General features: G+C 46.6%; 1 long non-coding RNA gene across 1 annotated transcript in view, besides 3 other annotated features; it reads left to right on the top strand.

Moving 5' to 3' along the window:
- Positions 1 to 12,568, top strand: part of LOC105374308 (uncharacterized) — a 42,702-nt gene extending 30,134 nt beyond the window's left edge. Inside the window, exons 4-5 of the long non-coding RNA NR_189108.1 lie at positions 7,077 to 7,175; positions 9,926 to 12,568. This is a non-coding gene — a long non-coding RNA (uncharacterized LOC105374308). The remainder of the gene's footprint in view (positions 1 to 7,076; positions 7,176 to 9,925) is intronic.
- Positions 9,729 to 10,244: an enhancer, noted in NCBI's record as "NANOG hESC enhancer chr3:197144782-197145297 (GRCh37/hg19 assembly coordinates)". NCBI's record gives its function as "activates a minimal SCP1, AML or CMV promoter by ChIP-STARR-seq in naive H9 embryonic stem cells {active_cell/tissue: H9 hESC(naive)}" and the evidence as "EXISTENCE:reporter gene assay evidence [ECO:0000049][PMID:30033119]".
- Positions 9,823 to 10,117: a silencer, noted in NCBI's record as "tiled region #1192; HepG2 Repressive non-DNase unmatched - State 23:Low, and K562 Repressive non-DNase unmatched - State 21:Repr". NCBI's record gives its function as "represses a minimal TATA promoter and a strong SV40 promoter by Sharpr-MPRA in HepG2 and K562 cells {active_cell/tissue: HepG2 | K562}" and the evidence as "EXISTENCE:reporter gene assay evidence [ECO:0000049][PMID:27701403]".
- Positions 17,263 to 18,462: an enhancer, noted in NCBI's record as "BRD4-independent group 4 enhancer chr3:197136564-197137763 (GRCh37/hg19 assembly coordinates)". NCBI's record gives its function as "activates an origin of replication core promoter dependent on BRD2, P300/CBP, MED14 and CDK7 cofactors, and independent of BRD4, by STARR-seq in HCT116 cells {active_cell/tissue: HCT116}" and the evidence as "EXISTENCE:reporter gene assay evidence [ECO:0000049][PMID:35650434]".

Genomic DNA, 27,374 nt, shown 5'->3' with positions numbered 1-27,374 from the left:
AATCTCTTCCTTGTCTAATAAGCACCTTTGTTCTATGATTCTTGGTACCTACCTCCTTCTCCAGCATCTTTGGCCCTCACTAAGGTGGAAGCAGAATCCACTACTCCCTTAGCCAACATTGAGCCATGGGGCCCAGAGAGTGGGTCGGCAGCAGGTCTAGCCCAATTACAGAATTACCCAGTCCATCATTGTCTCCGAGTGGGGACAACCAGCATCTGCTGGACAGTTAGGACATTCTTTCTTGCGGTGAGATGGCGACAGAACTAAATTCCTGCACAAGTCACCGACAGCCATATGCGAGGGTCCCAGGGCTGGGAAAGTGGACAGCAACCTCTTGAGAACTGGAGGGCCCATTTAAACTTACAGCAGGTTCCTGGAGGCTGATACTGACAGCAAGGGATGGGGCCCTGCTCACAGGAGCTGATCAGGGGAGTCCTCGTAAAGACAAATATTGAAGACTTGAGATTTTTTTCCATTACAGAATCATTGTCTCGTTTTTCCTGTCCTTGGCTACACACTATCATACACATATACCACAAGTTCATCTTTCTCTGTGATTATCAACAAGCACCAGAGATTTTCTTCCATTCTCTGCCTAGCGGTGCACAGCCTCCCAGGGGACAAATCACAAGGAAATTAGTGAACTCCAGGTGTTTGCATATGTATTTAAATATTCAATGCCTGGGTGTTTATGATTCCAAAATATCTGGTTGGGGTAGTTAAAACCTCAGGCAATTTGAGACAAATGAGTCTAAGTATTCATGTATTTATCGCTCATCTAACAAATAAATACCGAGTGTCTTGCATGAGCCAGGAAGTATCCAGGGAACAAGACACAGACCATCGCTGTTTGTTGATGCATAGATAAGCCCTTGGTGGATTAATCAGACCTCTCACATGCTAGCTGTTGCTCTGGCTTTTTAAAGAGCCTCCTTCTGTGTCCTCGGATCTGTGTCAGCTATCTCCGGCAGTCCGCTCGTGTCTGGCACACATGCACTCTGAGCTGCTTGGAAATAGGGCATCATCTCCACTCACTCTCATCTTGATGGGATCTGTGTGCGTGTTGTAACTTTACATTCTTTCTGCAGAGGTTGCTCATCATCTTAAGACTGTGGCTGGAAAAGAAGGTTCCAGAATGGCAGGCTCTCAAAGGGCTGGTGGTGGTGAATGACAGTGGGAAGGCCAGTGGGCCCAGTCCTGTGGGAAAGAGAATGGGAGGATATATTAGAAAAACAGACTTCTAGCTGGGCATGGTGGCTCACACCTGTAATCCCAGCACTTGGGAGGTTGAGGCGGGTGGATTGCCTGAGGTGAGGAGTTTGAGACCAGCCTGGTCAACATAGTGAACACCTCTCTCTACTAAAAATACAAAAAATTAGCTGGGCGTGGTGGCGAGTGCCTGTAATCCCAGCTACTAGGGAGGCTAAGGCAGGAGAATCACTTGAACCTGAAAGGCAGAGGTTGCAGTGAGCCGAGATCGCGTCATTGCACTCCAGCCTGGGCAACAAGAGTGAAACTCTGTCTCAAAAAAAAAAAAAAAAGAAAAAAAGAAAAAAAGAAAAAGGGACTACTTTTTAGAGGCCATTATTTCTGCTGTGGCCAGATTCCTCTGAGCTTAACAGAAGTGGATCCTGGAGCCATGCCAGTTCTGCCTTAGGTGGGGGTATTTTGCTAGACATCCAGGAAGCGGATTATGACAGGGTGGAGGGACTGGGAATGGGAGGTGCTCTGAGCCCCATTCCAGGGGGAGCAGATTTCCCAGGTGGAGGAGGCAAATTTGAGTCTAAACCAGAGGGTGAAGCTGGACAAGGGAGACAGAAGCAAAGGCCTCCCATCCAAGAGAAATCTCAAGGCCTAGCGGGACCGGCTTCTCAGGTTCTTACTCAGGAATGCTTCAAAGACCCTGAACTGTGGTTGGCAATTTCTCAGTCGCCCTGGCTTGGAAACTTGGACTCCCCACCCAGGGATCATTCCACAGCTCTTCACTGTTACCAGTTCCTCAGATCCGTACACTCTTCCGCAGCTGCTCAAGGACCGTCCCTAGGGGAGTGGGGAACACAAAGGGAACCCAGGGTCCCTTATCCTTATCCATGGAAAACTGAACACGGAAACTCCATCTTCCTCCATAAATTCAAGAGAAAAGCTGTATTCGTCACAGGATTCACAAGACTAATTATTAAATCTTTATGATTTATGGATTCAATTTTTATTGGGTGTGGGCCAAAAAATATTTGCTGAGCTTCTGCCTACTGGACTAGGGGAATAAATCTCCTCTAATTCTCTTCCTCCTTCTTAGGACTTTCTTTCAGTCCCTGTTTTTTTTTTTTCTCGGCTCTCCACTTGTAAGAGAAGCCTTCTCAACCCCTCCTTAGTCCTTACACCATCACATCGAGCTCTTCCCTGTCGCCGTCCTTGACTGCGTTGGAGACTTAGAAATGTGTTCATTGGTTTGCTTCTCCACTAGACTATCAGCTCTCCGGAGGTGAAAACCCTAACTTATTTTTCTTTCATCTCCTTCGGTGCCTAGCGCTATGCTCAGCACAGAGCAAGGAGCTCCGTAAGCATTTGTCAGACAAGTGAACGAATGAGGGAATGAATGAAGGAGTCTGGAGATGCATCTGATGTGGATGCGGGTGACAGGGCAGACAGCAACAGCCAGGTGGGCATGAACATGCTGGGCGCCCACTTGTGCCAGGCACAGTGCTGGAAGGACATCACTGCTGCGCCTGCACCTTCCTTCCAGCCAGAAAGACTTGCTTGCACCCTGGGGCTTGCTTCTGGTAGGATACCGGGGCCCTCTGCATTTCCAGAGTCTTGACAAGCAGAGAATGAATGCTCTTTCAGACGGCATCCTCGTCAGTTTACACTCCAATCGCCTTCTCCCAAAAAATTAAATTGCCTTTTCTTCCTCAGGAGGTATAATAATCCCCGCAACAGATTGTTTCCTGTTCTATAAAACGACTCCCTTCTGCTCGCCACATCCCTGCCACAGCATTACCTTCTCTCAGTGTTTTCTATGCCCCTCTCTTAGGCTCCTTCTTCCTGTGCAAATGAGCCTCCTTGTCCCTGAGCACAGGTCCCCCAACTCACCCTTAAACCCTGACCTGGTCTTTGGTGGATCTCAGCCCCAGCTCAGCACCCCCTTGCCTTTTATGTAGACGACAAGAGTCTGTGCAACCTTCCTTCTCCCGGCCCTTGGCTCCAGGAGTGTGAAGCCTGGGGAGTTTTTTCATCTAATTTTCCAGCAAACTTAAACTAGACAATTGAAGACTCAATTAGGGAGTGGAGGTCTGCGTGCTCTCCCAGGGGAGTGCACTTAGCTCTGGAAATCTTAGCTTACAGAGGTCACTCCCATCTTTTCCAGATTCCCCCTTTTTCGTAGACTAACGATTTTTTTGGAGGGTACCAGGCACTTGTGCTTAGCCAGCAAGGAGTGGGGTGGAGTGGGTGGGAGGTGTGGGACTCATCTCAATAAAGCAGAGGCTGAGGACAGTGGAAATGAGGGCAGGATTCAAAGGAAGCAGCCCATCGAAGACACAGTGGATGAGCTCTACAAGGCTAGAGACACAGAGGCCCGGGGGCTCACACCCACCGCTAAGACTGAAGGAAGCGTATTCTGATAGGGACTAAGAGTACAATACGCGTGCATGTGTGTGTGCAGACACACCCCATCAGATAGTGCCCTCTGAATCTAGCTCAGGCTAGAAACCCAGACAGGATAGAGGCATTGGGTGGGGTGTTTGGTAAATTGCGCCCACTCGGTCACCGTAGGGACTAAGACTTGTTACATTAACAAGGAAATAGGGCAATTAGGCTACGACTTAGGGCAATGCTGCAAGGAAAAAGTGCAGAAGTGCGGACAGCTCTTTGTTTGTTTGTTTGTTTTTTGAGATGGAGTCTCCCTCTGTCGCTCTGTCGCCCAGGCTGGAGTGCAGTGGCTCGATCTCGGCTCACTGCAATCTCCACCTCCTGGGTTCAAGTGATTCTCCTGCCCCATCGTCCCAAGTAGCTGGGATTACAGGCGCGCCACCATGCCTGGCTAATTTTTGTGATGGGGTTTCACTCTTGTCGCCCAAGCTGGAGTGCCATGGCACGATCTTGGCTCACTGCAACCTCCGCCTCCTGGGTTCAAGTGATTCTCCTGCCTCAGCCTCCCGACACCTGCCTAGTTTTTGTATTTTTAGTAGAGACGGGTTTTCGACGTGTTGTCCAGGCTGGTCACAGTCAGCTCTTTGCCTGTATAGATTCACCCCATCCTCCTACTCCCATCTCCGGCCACCTCCATTGCCTCCTGCACTGAAAGAGGACTAGGGCAACAGGGACTCCATCTCCTCCAGCTTCTGACTGGATTCAGCCAATGAAGAGCCTTAGCAAATCAGGGGGAAGGAGAAAAGGGACTCCAGGGTGCTTATTTCCCTGGCTGCATTCCTATGCCCGTGCCCTGGGCTGGTCGTTTTCTTCCTTTAAGTGCCCCCCAGCTCCGCACAGCTGCCTCTCTTTCCTGGTTCTGGGAGCCCATCCCTCCTCGGGTCCTGAGCACAGCTGCCTCTCTTTCCTAGTTCTGGGAGCCCATCCCTCCTCGGGTCCTGAGCACAGCTGCCTCTCTTTCCTGGTTCTGGGAGCCCATCCCTCCTCGGGTCCTAAGCACAGCTGCCTCGCTTTCCTGGTTCTGGGAGCCCATCCCTCCTCGGGTCCCTTAGGACTTAGGGATGGTCATAGGTCTGCCGCCGCCAGCCCTGAGGTTCTGAGCTATTTTTTTCGTTCTCCTACACTCCAACCTTAAGTTTATTATTAGTTAGCTTTTTATAAATAAAACCTCCCTGAGTTACCCTAACTTGACAGTGCCATTTGTCTCCTGTTGGGATCCTGACTGATACAGATATAATTGTATTTCAATATGATTACTGTTTTGTTTTTAAAAATACTGTTGGGAGGGCTGGGCGCTGTGGCTCATGCCTGTAATCCCAGCACTTTGGGAGGCTGAGGCAGGCGGATCACTTGAGGTCAGGAGTTCAAGACCAGCCTGGCCAATATGGCAAAATTCCATCTCTACTAAAATTACAAAAATTAGCTGGGCGTGGTGGCAGGTGCCTGTAATCCCAGCTACTCAGGAGGCGGACACAGGAGAATCACTTGAACCTGGGAGGTGGAGGTTGCAGTGAGCCAAGATTGCGCTATTGCCCTCAAGCCTGGGCAACAGAGTGAGACTCTGTCCAGCCCCCCCAAAAAAATTTAAAAAATACTGTTGGGAGTTCTGCTAAGCTGGGAGAGAGAGCTGAGCTGTCAGGTGTCAGAGTAGCCCATCACAGCAAGAATGAGCCAAAAAAAAAAAAGTAACAGTGCAGCCTTTAATCACTTGCTATAACAGTGTTAATATAAACAGGAGGCTAAAGCCAGAGAAGCCGCTGGCTCTCCTGTTTCATTTTCCCCATGAAACAGTGCACCGTTCAAGGGTCAGGTGGATCCGTGCAGATGTGGCGGACATTGCACTGTTGAGGGAGCCCCCAACCAAAGGCTCCAGCAGTTTTATGGACCCTGGGGTCGGGGTGTGGGGTAGAGTGGAAAAATCCTGGGTGCTGATTCAGAGTGGGGAAGCATGTCTTCAGGGTTCGCCCTCCTCCCCCTGGTAAAGAGGCCTCGGAAGAGGCACCTGAAAAAAAACCTCAGCCGAAGGCCTCAGAGAAAGAGATTTAGGAATGAAGACACTGGGCTAGGAATGCAAATATGTGAAGAGCATAGCATAGCAGGGCTGAGTCCTTAACTCCCCTCAGAGCCTCCTGTGTGCTGGCTGGGCACCAGGTCTGGTGTGGGGAGGGGAGCTTCCCCAGGAGGGCTGCCAGGTCAAGCCTCTGCCATTGCTTGCAGTCAGACCTGAAAAATCACACATAGGTGTTTGACCAGGAGCCAGACTCGTCAAATACATACACCCCACAATGGAGCAGGTGCGCCAGAATGTTATCCGTGGTTTCTCTTGGTCAGGGCCGTCCAACAGACATGTGATGTGAGTCATATATATGATTTTACGGTTTTTAGTAGCTTCTGAAAACAGTAAAAAGGAACAGGTCAAATTAATTTTAATAATATATTTGTTGGCTGGATGGGTGCAGTGACTCACACCTGTAATCCCAGCACTTTGGGAGGCCGAGGACGGGTGAATCATCTGAGGTCAGGAGTTTGAGACCGCGTGACCAACGTGGCGAAACCCTGTCTCTACTAAAGATACAAAAATTAGCTGGGTGTGGTGGCGGATGCCTGTAATCCCAGCTACTCGGGAGTCTGAGGTAGGAGAATTGCTTGAACCTGGGAGGCAGATGTTGCAGTGAGCCAAGATCATGCCACTGGACTCTAAAAAAAAAAAAAAATTATGTATTGTCCAATATATCCAGAATGTTATCATCTCAGGCATGTAATGAGTATTTTTGAAAGTATTAATGAGATATTTTACATTTTTTGAACTAAATCTTCCACTCCGGTGTATATTTTATACTTACAGTGCATCTCCGTTCAGATCAGCCGCATTTCCAATGCTCGGGAGCAGCGCATGCTTACTTGCTACCGTGTCAGAGGCGGCACTGGGCTAGGCGATGGGTGGGCTTATGAATTCTTAAAACATATATTTCCACGTTTTCTACCATAAATGTGCATTTTACATTTTATTTAGAAAATTATAGTCTATAAATATAATCTTATCTAGGTTTTGTTTATTTTCTATTTTATTTTAGTAGAAATTTCCTCTTTAAAATCCGGGCTTTGTCTGCATCTGTGGTGGTCTAAGAATAAAAGGGGCTACTTCCTTTTTGAGAGAGTGAGCCCAGAAAGCATCGACTGGGCAAGGACTACACTCGGCTCAACTTTGGAACCTCAGGAAGAGGTCCTCGTGGTGGCAGACAGAGGGGACTGCACCAGGGTGGACACCTGGGTGGGAACCTGGGCGGGCCGAGGCCTCCTCTCTGCCTGGTGCGGCTTCCTGCATAGGTCTGACCACCACTCAGACCAAAGCCACCCCGCCCCAGAACTGGGGTCTGACCAGACATCTCTCACTGGCCCCCACTTACAAATATGCAACTCTTTCTTAGCAGCTGCATGTCTTCAAGGAATGATGGGACACTATGTTTAAGCTCCAGAAATCGAAGCAGGACTCAAAGAAGCAGGCCAGTTCTGCTCTGCCCCCAAAGGTGAGTGCTTACTCTTTACTGCTGCATTTTGGAACAGTAAAAAAATAATCGTTTACAGCAGAGCATCAGAGAATGCACAGTCCAAGGCTTATAGGAAATACTTGCAGGTTGGTTAGCTGGTTGGCTAGTTGGTTGGTTGGGAAACATCTGCTGTGGGAAGGTAGAAGAGAATTGGCCCTGTGGCTAGAGACAGCTTGGAAATGGAAAGAACCCTGAACTGGGCTCAGGACCAGGTCCCCTGACCTCTCTATGTGACCTTGAGCAATGCACTTCCCTACCTGGGACGTCATGTTCCTCCACAGACAGGGGATTAAATAGGTATCACGAGATAACTTCTGAGACCCATTGCGGTGAAAGCATTTTGTGATTTTTGCCTCTGGAGGAAGTATTGAAAAGTCAGACAGTCCAAAGATGAATTTTAAAATGACTTCCAAGTCTGATTCCTGGGACAGTTGGGGCCAGAAGAGGAGAACAACCTGCATTTACCATTAGGACCAACATGAAGTGGAAAAGAACTGCCCCAGAGCCAGGGACCTGAGTAGGCAGGACTCGATGAGAACCGCCTGGGCAGACAGCATCAGCAGACACAATACTGCTGATTTTTTTTTCCCAATGGAAAAGTCCTTTTTGTCTGAGGCAATGTTTTCCACAGCTCTAGGGGACTGTGGTCATTTCCTAACAAGATTTTTCCTATTTTGTGCAGCTGGGGTCTGGCATTGGAAACACTGAGTGTTTTCAGGCTGAAACTCACTTAGGTCCTCCAGGGCCAAAGGCTGCTGGGTAAATTCAGGGTTTGGTGCAATCTGTGCTATAGTCTCTGCCCCTCAAACCATGGGGCACTGCCCTTTTCTTTAATACTTTGGAATTATAGCATTAGATACATAAAATTACAAAATATCAGAGCTGTAAAGACTTTGAGAGGCCACCTAGTCTATTCTTCTTCTAGAGAAGGGGAAACTGAAGCCCAGAAAAGGAGAGGAACTGACTCCAAGCCACACGTTCAATTAGAGAGAAGCCCACCCTCCTGACTCTTGATCCAGGTCCTCTGGACTCTCAGCCAACACCTGTCCACTGCACTTCCTCCTTTGGGGATGTGGGGAGTGAGGTGACCAGGAGAAGGTCACTTAGAAGGTCACTTAGAAGGTCAGTTAGAAGAGAAACTAACTGGCTATGAATGATTTCATATGTTTCAACCTTACGCCTCTACCTCCTGGTTACCTGATGATACCTCTCTCTCTATTTCCTGATTACTCCTCCTGGTTACCTGATGATACCTCTCTCTCTGTTTCCTGATTACTCCATCCTTGTTCTTTGGCTTTCAGTGTTTATTAGAGATAATAGATGGACTACATGCACACACAGGTTCATTCCATTGACGTTCACCAAGAGCCTTCCACTGCTGAGGATGCAAGATGAGTAAGTTACAGGTCCACTGTAGCCTGGGAGAGTCACTTTCCCTGTCCGAAGCAGTGAGCATAGCAGAGTCCAACTAAAGCACTGCTCAGGTGGCACAGAGAAGGGGTTTGCTCTGTCTAGCGCAGATCGGGGATTGCAGAAGAAGATTGATTGGCAAACAGAGATCTAACTATACATAATCGATGCCGATATTTTGCTTATTTGGTAAAGGAGTTGAAATCAATTTCTAGCATATGGGTAGGTGTTTGTATTTAATTTATCATGACCATCAGGCAAGGGCCATGAGAAACAGGGTCTCCCCTGGATTCAGCCTCATATGGTTCTGCCTCAGGTGGCAATTTCACAGCGCCTTTCTCTACTTCATCTTTTCTGGTATTAGCTTACACTGCTGACTAAATGCACCTGGCCTGTTCATAGCCTAAAAGCCTCTGCCAAAGTCTTTCTCATCCCACTGAAGACACAGCCTTCGGGAAGGGACAGCAGGCTAAGCCAAGCTGAGCCTGTGCCTGTGCCTTTGTCACATTCTGGAGCCACAATGGGACTAGGGACTCCCTTTCCACCGGGAGGCTGGGAGAGAGTACGATGGGAGTCAATCTTCCAGGTCTCTTTGAAAAGAAAGTCAGTTTGAAAATGTCGAACACCTGGCTCAGTTAGACCTTTCTCCAGGTTGTCATTTACTTAGAAAAGGAGCACTATTCAAGCCTTAAATGTCAGCTTCTTGCCTCTAAAACTGTGGGATCGGGTAAACCCCTGGGCACTTCAGCCTGTACTCCTATACCAAGGGCTGGGCTCCCTGGCTGTTAGTGGAGGGCAGCAGACACCCTGCCCAGGAATCCTATACCAAGGGCTGGGCTCCCTGGCTGTTAGTGGAGGGCAGCAGACACCCCGCCCAGGAGTCAGCCCCAGGGAAATGTCCACTAGGTACCAAAGATTCTGGGATTTCGGTTTGTCTGTGAGTTTCATGCATCTCATTCCTGAGGGCAGTTCCTAAATCTTTACCCTTGTATGTTTGAAAGATGACAACTCTTTAAAAACACGACTAGACCTGAGCTTTAAGTCCCAAGCTTGGGTCCCTTTACCTGGCAGCTCTTCCTATATCCAGCCAGCCGCCTTCTATGAGCTAATCCCTGTCTTGGCTCCTGCCTGTGCACTGCCTTCCCCATCCCTGTGAGGCACCATATGCTTAATGATACCCTCTAAAGAGGACGAATCTCCCTTAGCTGTCCTCTAACATTTGGAATGTACTGTCCCCTCTACAGTGTTAAAAACCAAAACAAAACAAAATAAATTAAGCTCTAATGCAGCTGGAGAGCTAATGGACCTCTCTTTCCCAGGAAAAGGAAAACAAAGATTCCAACCATTTGCAGCTCCTGAAAAATTCCGCCGACAGATGATCAGCCTCATTCCAGGCTAACTAACTGCTAACGAGCTTGAATTCGCCTATTCAGGGAATGTCCTTTGTTCACTTCTCTGCTACCTGAATTGTCTTCCCACTCTGCCTTCAGACACACTGAGCCAGAAGTTCAGCTCGGGTGCAAGAGATGGCAAAATGTGAGCCTCGAATCATCAGAGATCACCACAGTGCTGTCTTGAAATTCAAGGCAATATGAGTGTGTTACTGGGCTCAGTATCAGCCGGTATTACGAGAAACACTGGGGCATTTCCAGTGCAGATTATTTTAAATGGGAGAGTTCTTTTTTACTGTCACTTCTCCATTCTGGTCATAGAATGATTATTGACCATTATTGGGCCCTAACCATATTCACAAAACGTGGCTCTCACCCAGTATTTCCACATTATTGCTCTAGATTGCTTTAAATGGAATATACACACAGTAATGAGTCAGTTTTAGTGGAAGAGGCTTATCCTCAAGCCTTACATAACTGCACTGTAGTCTTGACTTTGTTCCTGTCCAGCTACTGGGCTGAAGACAGACAAAACAAGTCAGCCAACTCAGTTTAACACCTCCCTCGACCGTGCCTCCCCTTGCCCCGACACACGCCAGATTAACACTCTTCTCAGGCATCATTCAGAACAACGGCTCTCAATTCTGGCTGCAAACAGAATCATCAGGGAGCTTTTTAAAAACAAAAGAAAAAAAATCAATACCCAGGCCCTACTCCAAATCAATTAAAATAGATTTTGGGGGGATGGGCCTCAGGCATGGGAATTTTTATAAAGCTGCCGTGTTTATACCGACGTGCGCCATAAATGGGAATCTCTGTTTTAAACTTGACCAAAATTAATGATTAGAGGTTTTGCTTGCACACCAAGCAGGCAAATTTAATATTTAATATTTATATAAAACTTAAGATCATCACTCTTGGAATCAAATAAAACCAACAGAAAGGTACAACTATATAGTGCAACCAAGTTGCACAGGAAGAGAACAAAAATAGAGATACTTGCTCTTTTTTTTTTTTTTGAGATGGAGTCTTGCTCTGTCACCAGGCTGGAGTGCAGTGATACGATCTTGGCTCACTGCAACCTCCACCTGCCAGGTTCAAGGGATTCTCCTGCCTCAGCCTCTCTAGTAGCTGGGACTACAGGTACGCACCACCACACCTGGCTAATTTTTGTATTTTTAGTAGAGACAGGGTTTCACCATGTTGGCCAGGATGGTCTCGATCTCCTGACCTCGTGATCTGCCAGCCTCAGCCTCCCAAAGTGCTGGGATTACAGGCATGAGCCACTGCGCCCAGCCAAGATACTTGTTCTAATGCCACCTAACTTGGCCAGATCTTTGGAGGCCCTAAAGCAATAACATAGACAAACAACTTTGGACAAATAAGTTTCCACCGAGTATGCACAGATTAAGACTTTAACTCAGGGATGAGGGAGGTCACAATAATGAGCAGGATCCCAAGGTGTCTGGCTTTGGCAGCCAGTTCTCCCCAGACTGCGTCTTGCTTCATATGTGCCCTTTAGATAAGAGGGCCTAACAGGCTAATGGGAGCCTAATGGTAAGTGGGGCTAGACTCAGACTAGAAATTTGGCAGGACGATGCCCCGGGATCTAGGCTGTTCCATTACTATTCCCAAAAGGGGAACAATGCTGAATAGAGATCTGAAGTAGAATCAGCCTGTCCCTGGGACAGGGTAAGGGGAGAGGTGGGGAGTGAGAGGGCTCAAGACAAATGATGATACACCTTGTTCAGATCTCCTCTTCAAGGTCTCTGCAGACAGAAAAGTGCCATTCTCGGCAGCCCCCGGGACAGTTCCACGTCAGGCTCATCCCTCCCTGTACCCACCATGGCCTAAAACGCAGGTTTGACTGTACTAGGAATCAGGGATGTTTGCACTCAGCTACAGTATATCTCCATAGCCATGTGTCAGTGACTTCAGCGTTCCAAAAACCTGGAAAGAAATCTGCTGTCCAAACAAATCCGAAATATTTGCAAGTCAAAAAAAAAAAAGACAACACCTGGGTCTGTTTGCTATAGGAGAGAAAGTGAGCTGTAAATGTAATTAGAAGGAGATATCTCCTGCATTCTTTGTTTTTTTTAATTTTATTATTATTATACTTTAAGTTTTAGGGTACATGTGCACAACGTGCAGGTTAGTTACATATGTATACATGTGCCATGTTGGTGTGCTGCACCCATTAACTCCTCATTTAGCATTAGGTATATCTCCTAATGCTATCCCTCCCCTCTCCCCCCACCCCACAACAGTCCCTGGTATGTGATGTTCCCCTTCCTGTGTCCATGTGTTCTCATTGTTCAATTCCCACCTATGAGTGAGAACATGAGGTGTTTGGTTTTTCGTCCTTGCGATAGTTTGCTGAGAATGATGGTTTCCAGTTTCATCCATGCCCCTAAAAAGGACATGAACTCATCATTTTTTATGGCTGCATAGTGTTCCATGGTGTATATGTGCCACATTTTCTTAATCCAGTCTATCGTTGTTGGACATTTAGGTTGGCTCCAAGTCTTTGCTATTGTGAATAGTGCCGTAATAAACATACGTGTGCATGTGTCTTTATAGCAGCATGATTTATAATCCTTTGGGTATATACCCAGTAATGGGATGGCTGGGTCAAATGGTATTTCTAGTTCTAGATCCCTGAGGAATCGCCACACTGACTTCCACAATGGTTGAACTAGTTTACAGTCCCACCAACAGTGTAAAAGTATTCCTATTTCTCCACATCCTCTCCAGCACCTGTTGTTTCCTGACATTTTAATGATCACCATTCTAACTGGTGTGAGATGGTATCTCATTGTGGTTTTGATTTGCATTTCTCTGATGGCCAGTAATGATGAGCACTTTTTCGTGTGTTTTTTGGCTGCATAAATGTCTTCTTTTGAGAAGTGTCTGTTCATATCCTTTGCCCACTTTTTGATGGGGTTGTTTTTTTTTTCTTGTAAATTTGTTTGAGTTCATTGTAGATTCTGGATATTAGCCCTTTGTCAGATGAGTAGGTTGCAAAAATTTTCTCCCATTCTGTAGGTTGCCTATTCACTCTGATGGTAGTTTCTTTTGCTGTGCAGAAGTTCTTTAGTTTAATTAGATCCCATTTGTCAATTTTGGCTTTTGTTGCCATTGCTTTTGGTGTTTTAGACATGAAGTCCTTGCCCATGCCTGTGTCCTGAATGGTATTGCCTAGGTTTTCTTCTAGGGTTTTTATGGTTTTAGTTTTAACATTTAAGTCTTTAATCCATCTTGAATTAATTTTTGTATAAGGTGTAAGGAAGCGATCCAGTTTCAGCTTTCTACACATGGCTAGCCAGTTTTCCCAGCACCATTTATTAAATAGGGAATCCTTTCCCCATTGCTTGTTTTTCTCAGGTTTGTCAAATATCAGATAGTTGTAGATATGTGACATTATTTCTGAGGGCTCTGTTCTGTTCCATTGGTCTATATCTCTGTTTTGGTACCAGTACCATGCTGTTTTGGTTACTGTAGCCTTGTAGTATAGTTTGAAGTCAGGTAGCATGATGCTTCCAGCTTTGTTCTTTTGGCTTAGGATCGACTTGGCAATGCGGGCTCTTTTTTGGTTCCATATGAACTTTAAAGTAGTTTTTTCCAATTCTGTGAAGAAAGTCATTGGTAGCTTGATGGGGATGGCATTGAATCTATAAATTACCTTGGGCACTATAGCCATTTTCACGATATTGATTCTTCCTACCCATGAGCATGGAATGTTCTTCCATTTGTTTGTATCCTCTTTTATTTCATTGAGCAGTGGTTTGTAGTTCTCCTTGAAGAGGTCCTTCACATCCCTTCTAAGTTGGATTCCTAGGTATTTTATTCTCTTTGAAGCAATTGTGAATGGGAGTTCACTCATGATTTGGCTCTCTGTTTGTTATTGGTGTATAAGAATGCTTGTGATTTTTGTATGTTGATTTTTGTATCCTGAGACTTTGCTGAAGTTGCTTATCAGCTGGAGGAGATTTGGGGCTGAGACAGTGGGGTTTTCTAGATATACAATCATGTCATCTGCAAACAGGGACAATTTGACTTCCTCTTTTCCTAATTGAATACCCTTCATTTCCTTCTCCTGCCTGATTGCCCTGGCCAGAACTTCCAACACTATGTTGAATAGGAGTGGTGAGAGAGGGCATCCCTGTCTTGTGCCCATTTTCAAAGGGAATGCTTCCAGTTTTTGCCCATTCAGTATGATGTTGGCTGTGGGTTTGTCATAGATAGCTCTTATTATTTTGAGATATGTCCCATCAATACCTAATTTATTGAGAGTTTTTTGCATGAAGGGTTGTTGAATTTTGTCAAAGGCCTTTTCTGCATCTATTGAGATAATCATGTGGTTTTTGTCTTTGGTTCTGTTTATATGCTGGATTACATTTATTGATTTGCATATATTGAACCAGCCTTGCATCCCAGGGATGAAGCCCACTTGATCATGGTGGATAAGCTTTTTGATGTGCTGCTGGATTTGGTTTGCCAGTATTTTATTGAGGATTCTTGCATCGATGTTCATCAAGGATATTGGTCTAAAATTCTCTTTTTTGGTTGTGTCTCTGCCAGGCTTTGTTATCAGGATGATGCTGGCCTCATAAAATGAGTTAGGGTGGATTCCCTCTTTTTATATTGATTGGAATAGTTTCAGAAGGAATGGTACCAGCTCCTCTTTGTACCTGTGGTAGAATTCGGCTGTGAATCCATCTGGTCCCGGACTTATTTTGGTTGGTAAGCTATTGATTATTGCCTCAATTTCAGATCCTGTTATTGGTCTATTCAGAGACTCAATTTCTTCCTGGTTTAGTCTTGGGAGGGTGTATGTGTTGAAGAATTTATCCATTTCTTCTAGATTTTCTAGTTTATTTGTGTAGAGGTGTTTATAATATTCTCTGATGGTAGTTTGTATTTCTGTGGGATCGGTGGTGATATCCCCTTTATCATTTTTTATTGCGTCTATTTGATTCTTCTCTATTTTCTTCTTTATTAGTCTTGCTAGCGGTCTATCAATTTTGTTGATCTTTCAAAAAACCAGCTCGTGGATTCATTAATTTTTTGAAGGGTTTTTTGTGTCTCTATTTCCTTCAGTTCTGCTCTGATCTTAGTTATTTCTTGCCTTCTGCTAGCTTTTGAATGCGTTTGCTCTTGCTTTTCTAGTTCTTTTAATTGTGATATTAGGGTGTCAATTTTAGATCTTTCCTGCTTTCTCTTGTGGGCATTTAGTGCTATATATTTCCCTCTACACACTGCTTTGAATGTTTCCCAGAGATTCTGGTATGTTGTGTCTTTGTTCTCGTTGGTTTCAAAGAACATCTTTATTTCTGCCTTCATTTCATTATTTACCCAGTAGTCATTCAGAAGCAGGTTGTTCAGTTTCCTTGTAGTTGAGCGGTTTTGAGTGAGTTTCTTAATCCTGAGTTCTAGTTTGATTGCACTGTGGTCTGAGAGACAGTTTGTTATAATATACATTTGCTGAGGAGTGCTTTACTTCCAACTATGTGGTCAATTTTGGAGTAGGTGTGGTGTGGTGCTGAAAAGAATGTATATTCTGTTGATTTGGGATGGAGAGTTCTGTAGATGTCTATTAGGCCCGCTTGGTGCAGAGCTGAGTTCAATTCCTGGGTATCCTTGTTAATTTTCTGTCTCATTGATCTGTCTAATGTTGACAGTAGGGTGTTAAAGTCTCCCATTATTATTGTGTGGGAGTCTAAGTCTCTTTGTAGGTCACTAAGGACTTGCTTTATGAATCTGGGTGCTCCTGTATTGGGTGCATATATATTTAGGATAGTTAGCTCTTCTTGTTGAATTGATCCTTTACCATTATGTAATGGCCTTCTTTATCTCTTTTTATCTTTGTTGGTTTAAAGTCTGTTTTATCAGAGACTAGGTTGCAACCCCTGCCTTTTTTTTGTTTTCCATTTGCTTGGTAGATCTTCCTCCATCGCTTTATTTTGAGCCTATGTGTGTCCCTGCAGGTGAGATGTGTTTCCTGAATACAGCACACTGATGGGTCTTGACTCTTTATCCAATTTGCCAGTCTGTGTCTTTTAATTGGAGCATTTAGGCCATTTACATTTAAAGTTAATATTGTTATGTGTGAATTTGATCCTGTCATTATGATGTTAGCTGGTTATTTTGCTCGTTAGTTGATGCAGTTTCTTCCTAGCCTTGATGGTCTTTACAATTTGGCATGTTTTTGCAGTGGCTGGTATGGGTTGTTCCTTTCCATGTTTAGTGCTTCCTTCAGGAGCTCTTTTAGGGCAGGCCTGGTGGTGACAAAATCTCTCAGCATTTGCTTGTCTGTAAAGTATTTTATTTCTCCTTCACTTATGAAGCTTAGTTTGGCTGGATGTGAAATTCTGGGTTGAAAATTCTTTTCTTTAAGAATGTTGAATATTGGTCCCCACTCTCTTCTGGCTTGTAGAGTTCCTGCCAAGAGATCAGCTGTTAGTCTGATGGGCTTCCCTTTGTGGGTAGCCCAACCTTTCTCCCTGGCTTCCCTTAACATTTTTTCCTTCATTTCAACTTTGGTGAATCTGACAATTATGTGTCTTGGAGTTGCTCTTCTCGAGGAGTATCTTTGTGGCGTTCTCTGTATTTCCTGAATCTGAATGTTGGTCTGCCTTGCTAGATTGGGGAAGTTCTCCTGGATAATATCCTGCAGGGTATTTTCCAACTTGGTTCCATTCTCCCCGTCACTTTCAGGTACACCAATCAGACGTAGATTTGGTCTTTTCACATAGTCCCATATTTCTTGGCGGCTTTGTTCGTTTCTTTTTATTCTTTTTTCTCTAAACTTCTCTTCTTGCTTCATTTCATTCATTTTGTCTTCCATCACTGATACCCTTTCTTCCAGTTGATCGCATCGGCTACTGAGGCTTCTGCATTTGTCATGTAGCTCTCGTGCCTTGGTTTTCAGCTCCATCAGGTCCTTTAAGGACTTCTCTGCATTGGTCATTCTAGTTATCCATTTGTCTAATTTTTTTTTTCAAAGCTTTTAACTTCTTTGCCATAGGTTCAAATTTCCTCCTGTAGCTCGGAGTAGCTTGATCATCTGAAGCCTTCTTCTCTCAACTCATCAAAGTCATTCTCCGTCCAGATTTGTTCCGTTGCTGGTGAGGAGCTGCGTTCCTTTGGAGGAGGAAAGGCGCTCTGATTTTTAGAGTTTCCAGTTTTTCTGCTGTGTTTTTTCCCCATCTTTGTGGTTTTATCTACCTTTGGTCTTTGATGATGGTGATGTACAGATGGGGTTTTGGTGTGGATGTGCTTTCTGTTTGTTAGTTTTCCTTCTAACAAACAGGACCCTCAGCTGCAGGTCTGTTGGAGTTTGCTAGAGGTCCACTCCAGACTCTGTTTGCCTGGGTATCAGCAGCGGTGGCTGCAGAACAGTGGATTTTGGTGAGCCACAAATGCTGCTGCCTGATTGTTCCTCCGGAAGTTTTGTCTCAGAGGAGTACCCGGCCGTGTGAGGTGTCAGTCCGCCCCTACTGGGGGTTGCCTCCCAGTTAGGCTACTCGGGGGTCAAAGACCCACTTGAGGAGGCAGTCTGCCCGTTCTCAGATCTCAAGCTGCATGCTGGGAGAACCACTACTCTCTTCAAAGCTGTCAGAGAGGGACATTTAAGTCTGCAGAGGTTACTGCTGTCTTTTTGTTTGTCTGTGCCCTGCCCCCAGAGGTGGAGCCTACAGAGGCAGGCAAGCCTCCTTGAGCTGTGATGGGCTCCACCCAGATGGAGCTTCCCAGCCGCTTTGTTTACCTAATCAAACAACTAACTGGGCAATGGCGGGCGCCCCTCCCCCAGCCTTGCTGCCGCCTTGCAGTTTGATCTCGGACTGCTGTGCTAGCAATGAGCGAGACTCCATGGGCGTAGGACCTTCGGAGCCATGTGCGGGATATAATCTCCTGGTGTGCTGTTTTTTAAGCCTGTTGGAAAAGCGCAGTATTAGGGTGGGAGTGACCCGATTTTCCAGATGCTGTCTGTCACCCCTTTCTTTGACTACGAAAGGGAATTCCCTGACCCCTTGTGCTTCCTGGGTGAGGCGATGCCTCGCCCTGCTTTGGCTCGCACATGGTGCGCTGCACCCACTGTCCTGCACGTACTGTCTGGCGCTTCCCAGTGAGATGAACCCGGTACCTTAGTTGGAAATGCAGAAATCACCCGTCTTCTGTGTCGCTCACGCTGGGAGCTGTAGACCGGAGCTGTTCCTATTCAGCCATTCCTGCATTCTTTTAAAGCAATGAAGGTGTTGTAAGGATTGCAAATCAGACATCTCTATAAGAAGGACCATTTGGGGACACATGAATTTGGCAAACAAATTCAGGAAAGAAGGCTCTGCCTCAGCAGGGAAGGTGCAGACCTGTGGCAGCCAGGATGTCTCTTCTGGAGCATGGTTGGTGGGTCATGTCCAGTTACTATGCTGCCCTCAGGATTGGCCTAAGGTGTGAGTTTAGGAGGCGAGGGATATGGTGTGGTAGGATGACATTTTTGAGATGGACACTTCAGGTTGTCATGGAATCCGCAAGAACAAGATACCACAGTCTCCTGTGGTCTCAATATCAGTGTGAGGAGGTTGCGTCCTGGGCCTAATCTCAGCTGTCCCCATCCCGAGTACTGTCGTTAAACCATTGGCTTTTATTTTGGGTGCCCTCAATGGAGAGAATGAAGAATGGATCATGACCAGTTCCCACGTTCCAACAGCCTTAGCTCCACCAGAAACATGCCAAACTGGAAACTGGTTTGTCATGGGGATTGACAAAATGCTGATCAAACCCACAAGAGATGGCAAGATTATTCAATATAGACACTAGAGAGTTAGCATTGGAAGGACTCACTGGCCTTATAGAGGGGACCGTGAGCCAAGGGAAGCGACTTTCTCCATGTCACACACTAGTTAATGCCAAAGGTAGAATGAGAACCCAGAAACCCCAACTCTCAAATCAGTGCGCTTTCTACCACCCTTTGCTGTCAAATCTCAATGAGAACAAGAATGTGTGTATAAGATGTTCAATATATTCTCTTTTCAGAAAAGAAGGCTACTTGGGGAAATAACATCACTAATAGAAAGTTTTTGGAATGTGTAGAGGGCCAGTCCAGGGTATGTGCTGGAGAGAAATAGGTGAAGCTAAAATCAGAGTTGCAAGGAGCCACGCTGGGAAATCAACCCAGAGAGACACTTTGCTCCCCACAGTGGGAGTATAGAAGACTAGAACAGCTGGGACAGTCAATAGCTCCATGGATGGTCAAGGAAGGAAAGAAGTGGGGCTCCAAGAGGAACCTATGTCCCTGAATTAGACGTGTACTCTTCTGAGAAAGGACAGAGAAACCAACAGAGGGAAAAGTTAATCCCTGCTTAACTGTTCTTTGTTCCTGGACACAAGCTGAAGCAAGTAAGAAGAATTTCCATCCCACAACCCCCAGTGAGAAAGGGCTGGTCAGTTGATCCATTTAACCTACTGCCAGCCCGGAGAGGAGACCCGCAGGGAATTAAAGGGACACTGCCATTTTATGGGGCAAAAACCCCAGCTGCCAGAATGAAGCTGCAATTGTGTGGGTTCCCAGGTCAGTCCTGTGCCACCGTTGGGAGGAAAGATTCCCTTGATGCCAGACATGAGGCAGAGTTCCCAGGGGCTGTGGGTAGGATATGGCTGCTCCCTCCCTGACTCTCCAGAAAATTATAAGCAGGGAAACTTGAACTTGGGTCTTGAATACGCTCATTTTGTGTATCAGTGTAACCTGAGCACCTAGCAACCGCCAGGGCTTGGTGTCTGGTGACTTCCCCTTCAGCAGCTCTGCAGACTGCCAGAAAGAGCTGACTGCTCCAAGCCCAAGCCAAGCTTCCCTCTAGTTTAAATCAAAGAAAAATGGAGGGTGCCGAGAATGTAATGGGATAAAGGTCAACCCCAGGGCATAGCCCTCCACTCAACACGAGAACCAGAGTCATGTTTGACGAAATTCCCAAAAGACATTCTTCGGAACAAAGAAAATGAGCTAAGAAGATTTCTTAGAAAAGGATGCGTTTTATGTCAAAACAAGGGTGAGACCAGGTGCAGTGGCTCACACCTATAATCCCAGCACTTTGGGAGCCCAAGGCTGGTGGATCACCTGAGGTCAGGAGTTTGAAACCAACCTGGCCAACATGGTGAAACCCTGCCTCTCCTGAAAATACAAAAATTAGCTGGGCCTGGTGGGGCACACCTGTAATTCCAGCTACTCAGGGGCAGAGGCAGGAGAATTGCTTGAACCCAGGAGGTGGAGGTTGCAGTGAGCCAAGATCACACTACTGCACTCCAGCCTGGGCGACAGAGTGAGACTGTCTCAAAAAAAAAGAAAGAAAAAAGCCAGAGTGAGCTAGAGGTTACTGAAGTGGAGCACCAGGGAGCTGCCCAGGAGCCAAACAGTGCCCAGACCCTGGGGAGCCATCTGCCCCCACAGAGGGGGTGGGGGTCAACTCCCTGGTGACATCCTCTACTGAGGTTCCTTCCCCACCTCTTCACAGGGCAGGCTTCGGGCCCATTAGTTGCATTATAGAGACCGGGAATGGAAAACCAAATCTCTCCCTGTGTCCTTCATTCTGGCCTCTGTGCTGGGAAAAGCTCTTCCCACAACACCCTCTGTTCATTCCCAGATCCTGAACAACAGAGTTGAGAAGCAAGATTACGAAAAGGCACAGTTACCCCCTCACGGACTATCTGAGGCTGGACTTGAGCAGTTCTAGAGGCCCACACAAAGAGAGGACTAGCAGATAAAAGGACACGGTGCCGGCACGCCCACCACTGAGGAAGCAGTAGCAGGCACCAGTTTCTTTCCAAACACATCCTGGGTTGGAGAGGACTTGGTGGTGGCCCGAAGCCGTGAAGCTCTGCCCGAGGAGCTCCCAGAGCCCTCTGGGGATCGCACCTCGCTACCCGTCAGAGTGATGTATCGAGTATCCACTCTGTGCCTCCACAGGCAGGCCTCGGGAGGAAGCACAGTCCATGGGTACAGAATTACCTTCTCATGGGAAAATAGACAGTCAGTCAAAAATTACAGGCGCAGCGAGTGTTGTGAAGGAGGCGTGAGGGAGCAATGGGGGCGGCTCATGGAGCACTGAGGGTCTGGAAAGGCCTCCCCAAGGAAGTGACATAAACCCGAGACCTGAGGATGTAAGGGAATTAGACAAACAAATAGGGGAGATCGTGCGGACTTTGAATTGTCCCTCAAAGTCCATCTCCTCGGGCCAGGCATGGTGGCTCAAGCCTGTAATCCCAGCACTTTGGGAGGCCAAGGCGGGTAGATCACCTGAGATCAGGAGTTGGAGACCAGCCTGGCCAACATGGTGAAACACCGTCTGTACTAAAAATACAAAAATCAGCCAGGCGTGGTGGCAGTCGCCTATAATCCCAGCTACTCAGGAGGCTGAGGCAGAAGAATGCTTGAACCCAGGAGGTGGAGGTTGCAGTGAGCTGAGATCGCGCCACTGCACTCCAGCCTGGGCGACAGAGTGAGACTCCATCTAAAAAAAAAAAAAGTCCATTTCCTCTTCTTTCATAATCACAGAATTTTTAGTTGAGTATAGGCTTCCCAGAAAACAGCTGCATTTCCCAGCCTCTCTTAGAGGTGGATGTGACGCTGGACCCTAACAGGAAGAGGGAGGAAGCGTGTAGACAGTGCTGGGTTATGTGGACAGGGTTGCCCTCCCTCGGCCCCCCGCCCCTTCTGCTGGCTGGCATGTGGTCCTGGCAGGGAGCCATCTTGGAGCAGGCTAAGGAAGCCAGTAAGACAGAAGAAGCGGGGCTCTGATGACCTCACAGGCCAGAGCAGCCACACCAGCGTGGGGCTTCATGTGAGAGAAAAATAAATTCTATTTCGTTTAAGCCATTATTATTTTGGTCTCTGTTACAGAAACCAAAGCAGTGTCCTGACTAATACACAGTCTGAGGGAACAGCAAAGTGCTCCTGCAAATCTTCTTAACCGCATTTCATCTTCCCAAGAACCCAGTACGGAGGAGATTATTATCATTATTTTAGTGTTACAGAAACTGATGCTGAGAGGGATCGTTGTCTTGTCCAAGGTCACACAGTGGCAGAGCCCGGGACTCAGAACTCAAGGCTTCTTCATGCCAATCCAGGAGCATCCACGATGCTACGCCGCCTCCATTTCTCTAGGCTGGGTTTGGTTGCTTCCTCCGTTAGTGAGGTGAGTTTTTACCAAACCATCCACACTCTTTTTTTTTTTTTTTTTTGAGACGGAGTTTCGCTCTTGTTGCCCAGGCTGGAGTAGTGCAATGGCACGATCTTGGTTCACCGCAACCTCCGCCTCCCGGGTTCAAGAAATTCTCCTGCCTCAGCTTCCCGAGTAGCTGGGATTACAGGCGCGCACCACCACACCTGGCTAATTTTGTATTTTTAGTAGAGATGAGGTTTCTCCATGTTGGTCAGGCTGGTCTTGAACTCCCAACCTCAAGTGATCCGCCCGCCTCAGCCTCCCAAAGTGCTGGGATTACAGGAGTGAGCCACCGCACCCGGCCTCCATCCACACTCTTAACTTGATCCGCCACCCCCATGCCAGTCCACTCAGTGACACATGGTCCTAATGGCACATGCACCACGGACAGGAGGCTAATTTCCTGCATGAAGTGATGATTTAGGGGCAGGGATACAAGACGACTGGCACTTTCTCAGAAAATAGCTTACTTTTTTTTTTTTTTTTTAGCGAAGTCTCGTTCTTGTCCCCCAGGCTGGAGTGCAATGGCACGATGGTGCAATCTCGGCTCACTGCAACCTCCGCCTCCTGGGTTCAAATGATTCTCCTGCCTCAGCCTCCCAAGTAGCTGGGATTATAGGCGCCCGCCACCACACCCAGCTAATTTTTGTATTTTTAGTAGAGACAGGGTTTCACCATGTTGGCCAGGCTTATCTCGAACTCCTGACCTCAGTTGATCCGCCCACCTCGTAGGATTACAGGTGTGAGCCACCCCGCCCGGCCAATATTTTACACTTTATTCTAAAGGTAGTGTTTGGAAGAGTCCCATTCTCCCCCGTTCCCACCCCACCCCTGCCACTTTACCAGCCCCACTTTGTGCAAAGGATGCAGGAATTCTTGAAGACACCAGCACTCGGAGAGCCCTGGGGGCCGCAGCTCCTTCCTTAGTGCAAGTTTCTTCTCTCCTTATTTTGAGTCTAGGCTTCTTAGCGGGAGCAGCCTGGCTCCTCTGGGATCTCCCTGGGAAGCTGTGTCAGAACAGTTCTGTGATTTTATCTTTTGTCAGCCCTTTGACCGATTGCATATGGGAAATTGCAGGCTAAGCCATGTTCACACAAATCCTTAGCCCGTGTTCTCCTACTGAGGCGCTCCTCAAGTTATGAATCACCTCTGGGGTATAGCATTTGAAAAATTAAGGTCTTAAAATATTGATTTTATTCCTCACAGCCAGGAGATAGCTTTACACATGATTTGGTTGATTGGCCCATTGTGTGGCTCAGGTGCTTGTAACTTGCAAATTTAACAGAGCCTTTTGTCTGCAGAAGACTGAAGCAGCCAGGGAGACAGTGCTGCTCACACCCGGAATCCAAGCACTTGGGGAGGCCGACTAGCCTCAAGTGATCCTCCCACCTCAGCCTCCCAAAGTGCTGGAATTACAGGTGTGAGCCACCAACCGTGCAAGCCTAATCCATTTTCTAAAGTGCTGTAAGAACAATCTTCTAAAACGCAAAAAATCTGATTATCCTGGGAGTTTGGAATTCTTTCAATGGCTCCCTCATGGCCTCATCACGGTCAAGTCCAAATTCCTTAGCAGCCCTATAAGGCCCTTCCCGATCTGGCCCCACCTCCACCGCTCCCCCTCCCTCCACTCCCTGCTCTCCCCAGGTGCTATGCAGTACCTGCAAACGGCCTGTCCTCACCCTTCGGGCTCTGCCCCTGTTGCTCCCTCCACCTAGAATGGCCTTCCTTCATCTCCTTACCCGGACAGTTTCCTCGGGACCCCGTTCAGGCGTCTTCTCTTCCAAGTGGCTTTCCTGACCATCCCACCCTGCACAGCACCCTTGTCACCCTGTCAGAGTCACCTGCGGCCTCGTGATTTCCATGTGCATCTCCTCATCTAGTCGGGGAGCACCTTCAAGGCAGGAGCTGTGTCTCATTTGTCTTGACCTAGAGTCTGGCAGCACACCTGGCACAGAGTAGGTGCTCATTCAATGTTGGTTGAAACAGTGAGGCTCTGTGGAGCCCTAGGTGTCATGGTCGTTTCCTCCCAAGATTGCTGTCACTTCTATTTCACTAAGTTTTTGTATTGATAAAATATCAGGCAAGACTAATTTAATCCCATGAAAGCAGATACTTCATTTTTTTTCTGTGGGAGTGTTAATATATTAATTCATTTAGCCATCCATTCATCCGTCAGTCACTTCATTTAACGAATATGGGCCGGGCATGGTGGCTCACGCCTGTAATCCCTGCACTCTGGGAGGCTGAGGTGGGCGGATCACTTGAGGTCAGGAGTTGGAGACCAGCCTGGCCAACGTGGTGAAACCCCGTCTCCACTAAAAAATACAAAAATTAGCCAGGCATATGGTGGGCACTTGTAATCTCAGCTACTTGGGAGGCTGAGGCAGGAGAATCACTTGAACCCAGGAGGTGGAGGTTGCAGTGAGCCAAGATCATGCCGCTGCACTCCAGCCTGGGCAACAAGAGCGAATAAATAAATAAAATGAATCTAAGTAAATAAATAAATAAGAAATGCATCCTCTAGGCCAGACCCTGTGCTAAGCATTAGGGTTATAAAGCTAAATAAAACTCAGTCCCTGTCCTCAAAGAGCTGACAGTTCATTGGGAAACAGACACGCAGACATACCATGACAGAATGATGTGGCTGACATCACAGTGCATGAGGGAGGTGGTGGAGAAGGGAAGGTAATGGATGATCCCTCACAGTGGAGAAGGGAAGGTAACGAATGCTGGGTTAGGGGCCTGTCCTTTGAGGTTCTGCTACTCACATTCTCTCATGGCTCCTAGATTAGAATTGCCTATAGTTCTGTTCCCCCACTCCCATTACACTAAGAGTTCCTTGAGGACAGAGACTATGTTATCCACCTTCGTATTCATTCATTTATTCAACAAATATGTATTAAATGCCTACTGCACAGAAAGCCCTTTTAGGTGCTGTGGTTACCACATGAAGCAAGTTAGACTGACCTCTCTGCCTTCGTGGAGTTTACAAGGTGCCTGCCTCCGTGCTGGAAACATGGCAGGCTCTAGAGAGATATTTGTTAAAGGAATAAACAGTGGATTCAGAGGGATGTGAGTGTGGTCCTCAATCATCTGGAGAGCTGTGTGGGAAGAGGAACACACATGTTCAAGGATGTTTTAAAGGGCAGAGTGGGGCCAGTGCGGGGACATTGCATGGTGACTGGTCTGGGGAAATGAGGAAGAATTTCTGTTAGTAAAAGTTGTTCGATATTATGATATAGTGACAGTAAATGATAACACAGGCCAGGCACGGTGGCTTATGCCTATAATCCCAGACTTTGGGAGGCCAAGGTGGGTGGATCACCTGAGGTCAGGAGTTCGAGACCAACCTGACCAACATGGAGAAATCCCGTCTCTACTAAAAATACAAAATTAGCTGGGTGTGTTGGCGCATGCGTGTAATCCCAGCTACTCAGGAGGCTGAGGCAGGAGAATAGCTTGATCCTGGGGGAAGGAGTCTGTGGTGAGCTGAGATTGTGCCACTGCACTCCAGCCTGGGTAACAAGAGCGAAACTCCGTCTCAGAAAAAAAAAAAAAAAAAAGATAACACAGAGGCTTGTAGAAGAAATTTCTACAGTGAGTTCAAGGAGGTTAAGCCAAATGACCTACAGGTCCTTTCCAAATCTGGAATTTTATTGTTGAAAACATTGAAGTTTGTCCAAAATGTTCAGCCATCAAGATATATGGCAAACTGGCTATTGACTTTGGAACTTTTCTCTAGTAAGGGAAACAAGCAAACACTGTCACCCATAACAGTTTCACAGCAATTTTGCCGCGGACGTTTGGGTACACAGAAACTTCTCTATCTTACTTGTCACCTGAATCACAGCTCCTGGCCAAGTCAGACTCTCAGGAGAAAATCAAGGGGCAAGAGGATGAGCGAGTGTTCGCAAAAAAAAAAAAAAAAAAAAAGAGAGAAACTTCAAAATCTTCCTGGACTGAATCGTATGTCCATTTCACAAAATATTATTTAGCTGTTATAGAGAATAAAATAGATTTATATATATGTATAAAAGATATATTATTAAGTTTAAAATAACAAATTAGAGAATACTATTTAGGATATGACCAATTTTGTGTACTTTTTAAAAACAGGGCATGTCAATATATATGCATAATTTTTCTGGATGGAATGATAAGAAACTGTTAATAGTTTACTTTTGGGAGGTAGTTACTATGGAAAGTGGGAATGGGAGAAGGTAACTCCTCAATTTTCATTTAGTATGTTTCCATGTTGATGCTATTTTTTTTTTTTTTTTTTGAGACGGAGACTCACTGTGTCACCCAGGCTGGAGTGCAGTGGCGCGATCTCAGCTCACTGCGACCTCTGCCTCCCGGGTTCAAGTGATTCTCCTGTTTCAGCCTCATGAATAGCTGGGACTGCAGGCACACGCCACATGCCCAGCTAATTTTTGTATTTTTAGTAGAGACAGGTTTCATCATGTTGGCCAGGCTGGTCTCGAACCCCTGGCCTCAGGTGATCCACCCACCTTGGCCTCCCAAAGTGCTGGGATTACAGGCGTGAGCCACCACACCTTGCCCTTGATTCTATTTTCTAATCATGTGCCTCCTTCCCATCTTTTAATGCCAACACAGCTTACCTGGATCATGGTTAATTATAGCTTCTTTTTATAGTTTTCTATTTAAAAAATTAAAATTTAATATTTTTCATTTTCCAAAGGCTAGAAAAAAGGGAGTGGGGACCAAGCTGGGTACCACCAAGATAGATGATACTAGCTCCGTTTCTAAACATGAGAAACTAGAGTCAGCGAAACAGAAGGCTACAGGGAGGGAGAGCCTCTTGCTTAAGACCAGGCTGTAAAAAGACACCTGAGCCAAGACCAGAGGCCAGATCTCCTGGGGTCCAGCATGACTCCTCAGTGAAAACAACGCGGGAGAAGGAAAATGGAGGTAGGGAAGGGAGCTAACATTTGGAGAGGCCTACTGTGCACAGGCATTTTATACCATCACTGACCAACTGCTGTCCTTAGAACACCTTTCAGCAGCAAGACCCAGCTTACCCTGAGCTTTCCAGGATGAAGCATTAAGGCAGGCACAGAAGCTGACTTTCTGGACCCAGAAGGAAAACATGATTAAAAAATTCTACCTACACAAACTCCATTACCATGGATCCTGAGACT

This window comes from Homo sapiens, chromosome 3 (genome assembly GCF_000001405.40).
Source record: "Homo sapiens chromosome 3, GRCh38.p14 Primary Assembly".
Classification (NCBI taxonomy): domain Eukaryota; kingdom Metazoa; phylum Chordata; class Mammalia; order Primates; family Hominidae; genus Homo; species Homo sapiens.
The sequence above is the reverse complement of the archived record's forward strand: the minus strand, read 5'-3'. Positions and strand labels throughout refer to the sequence as shown.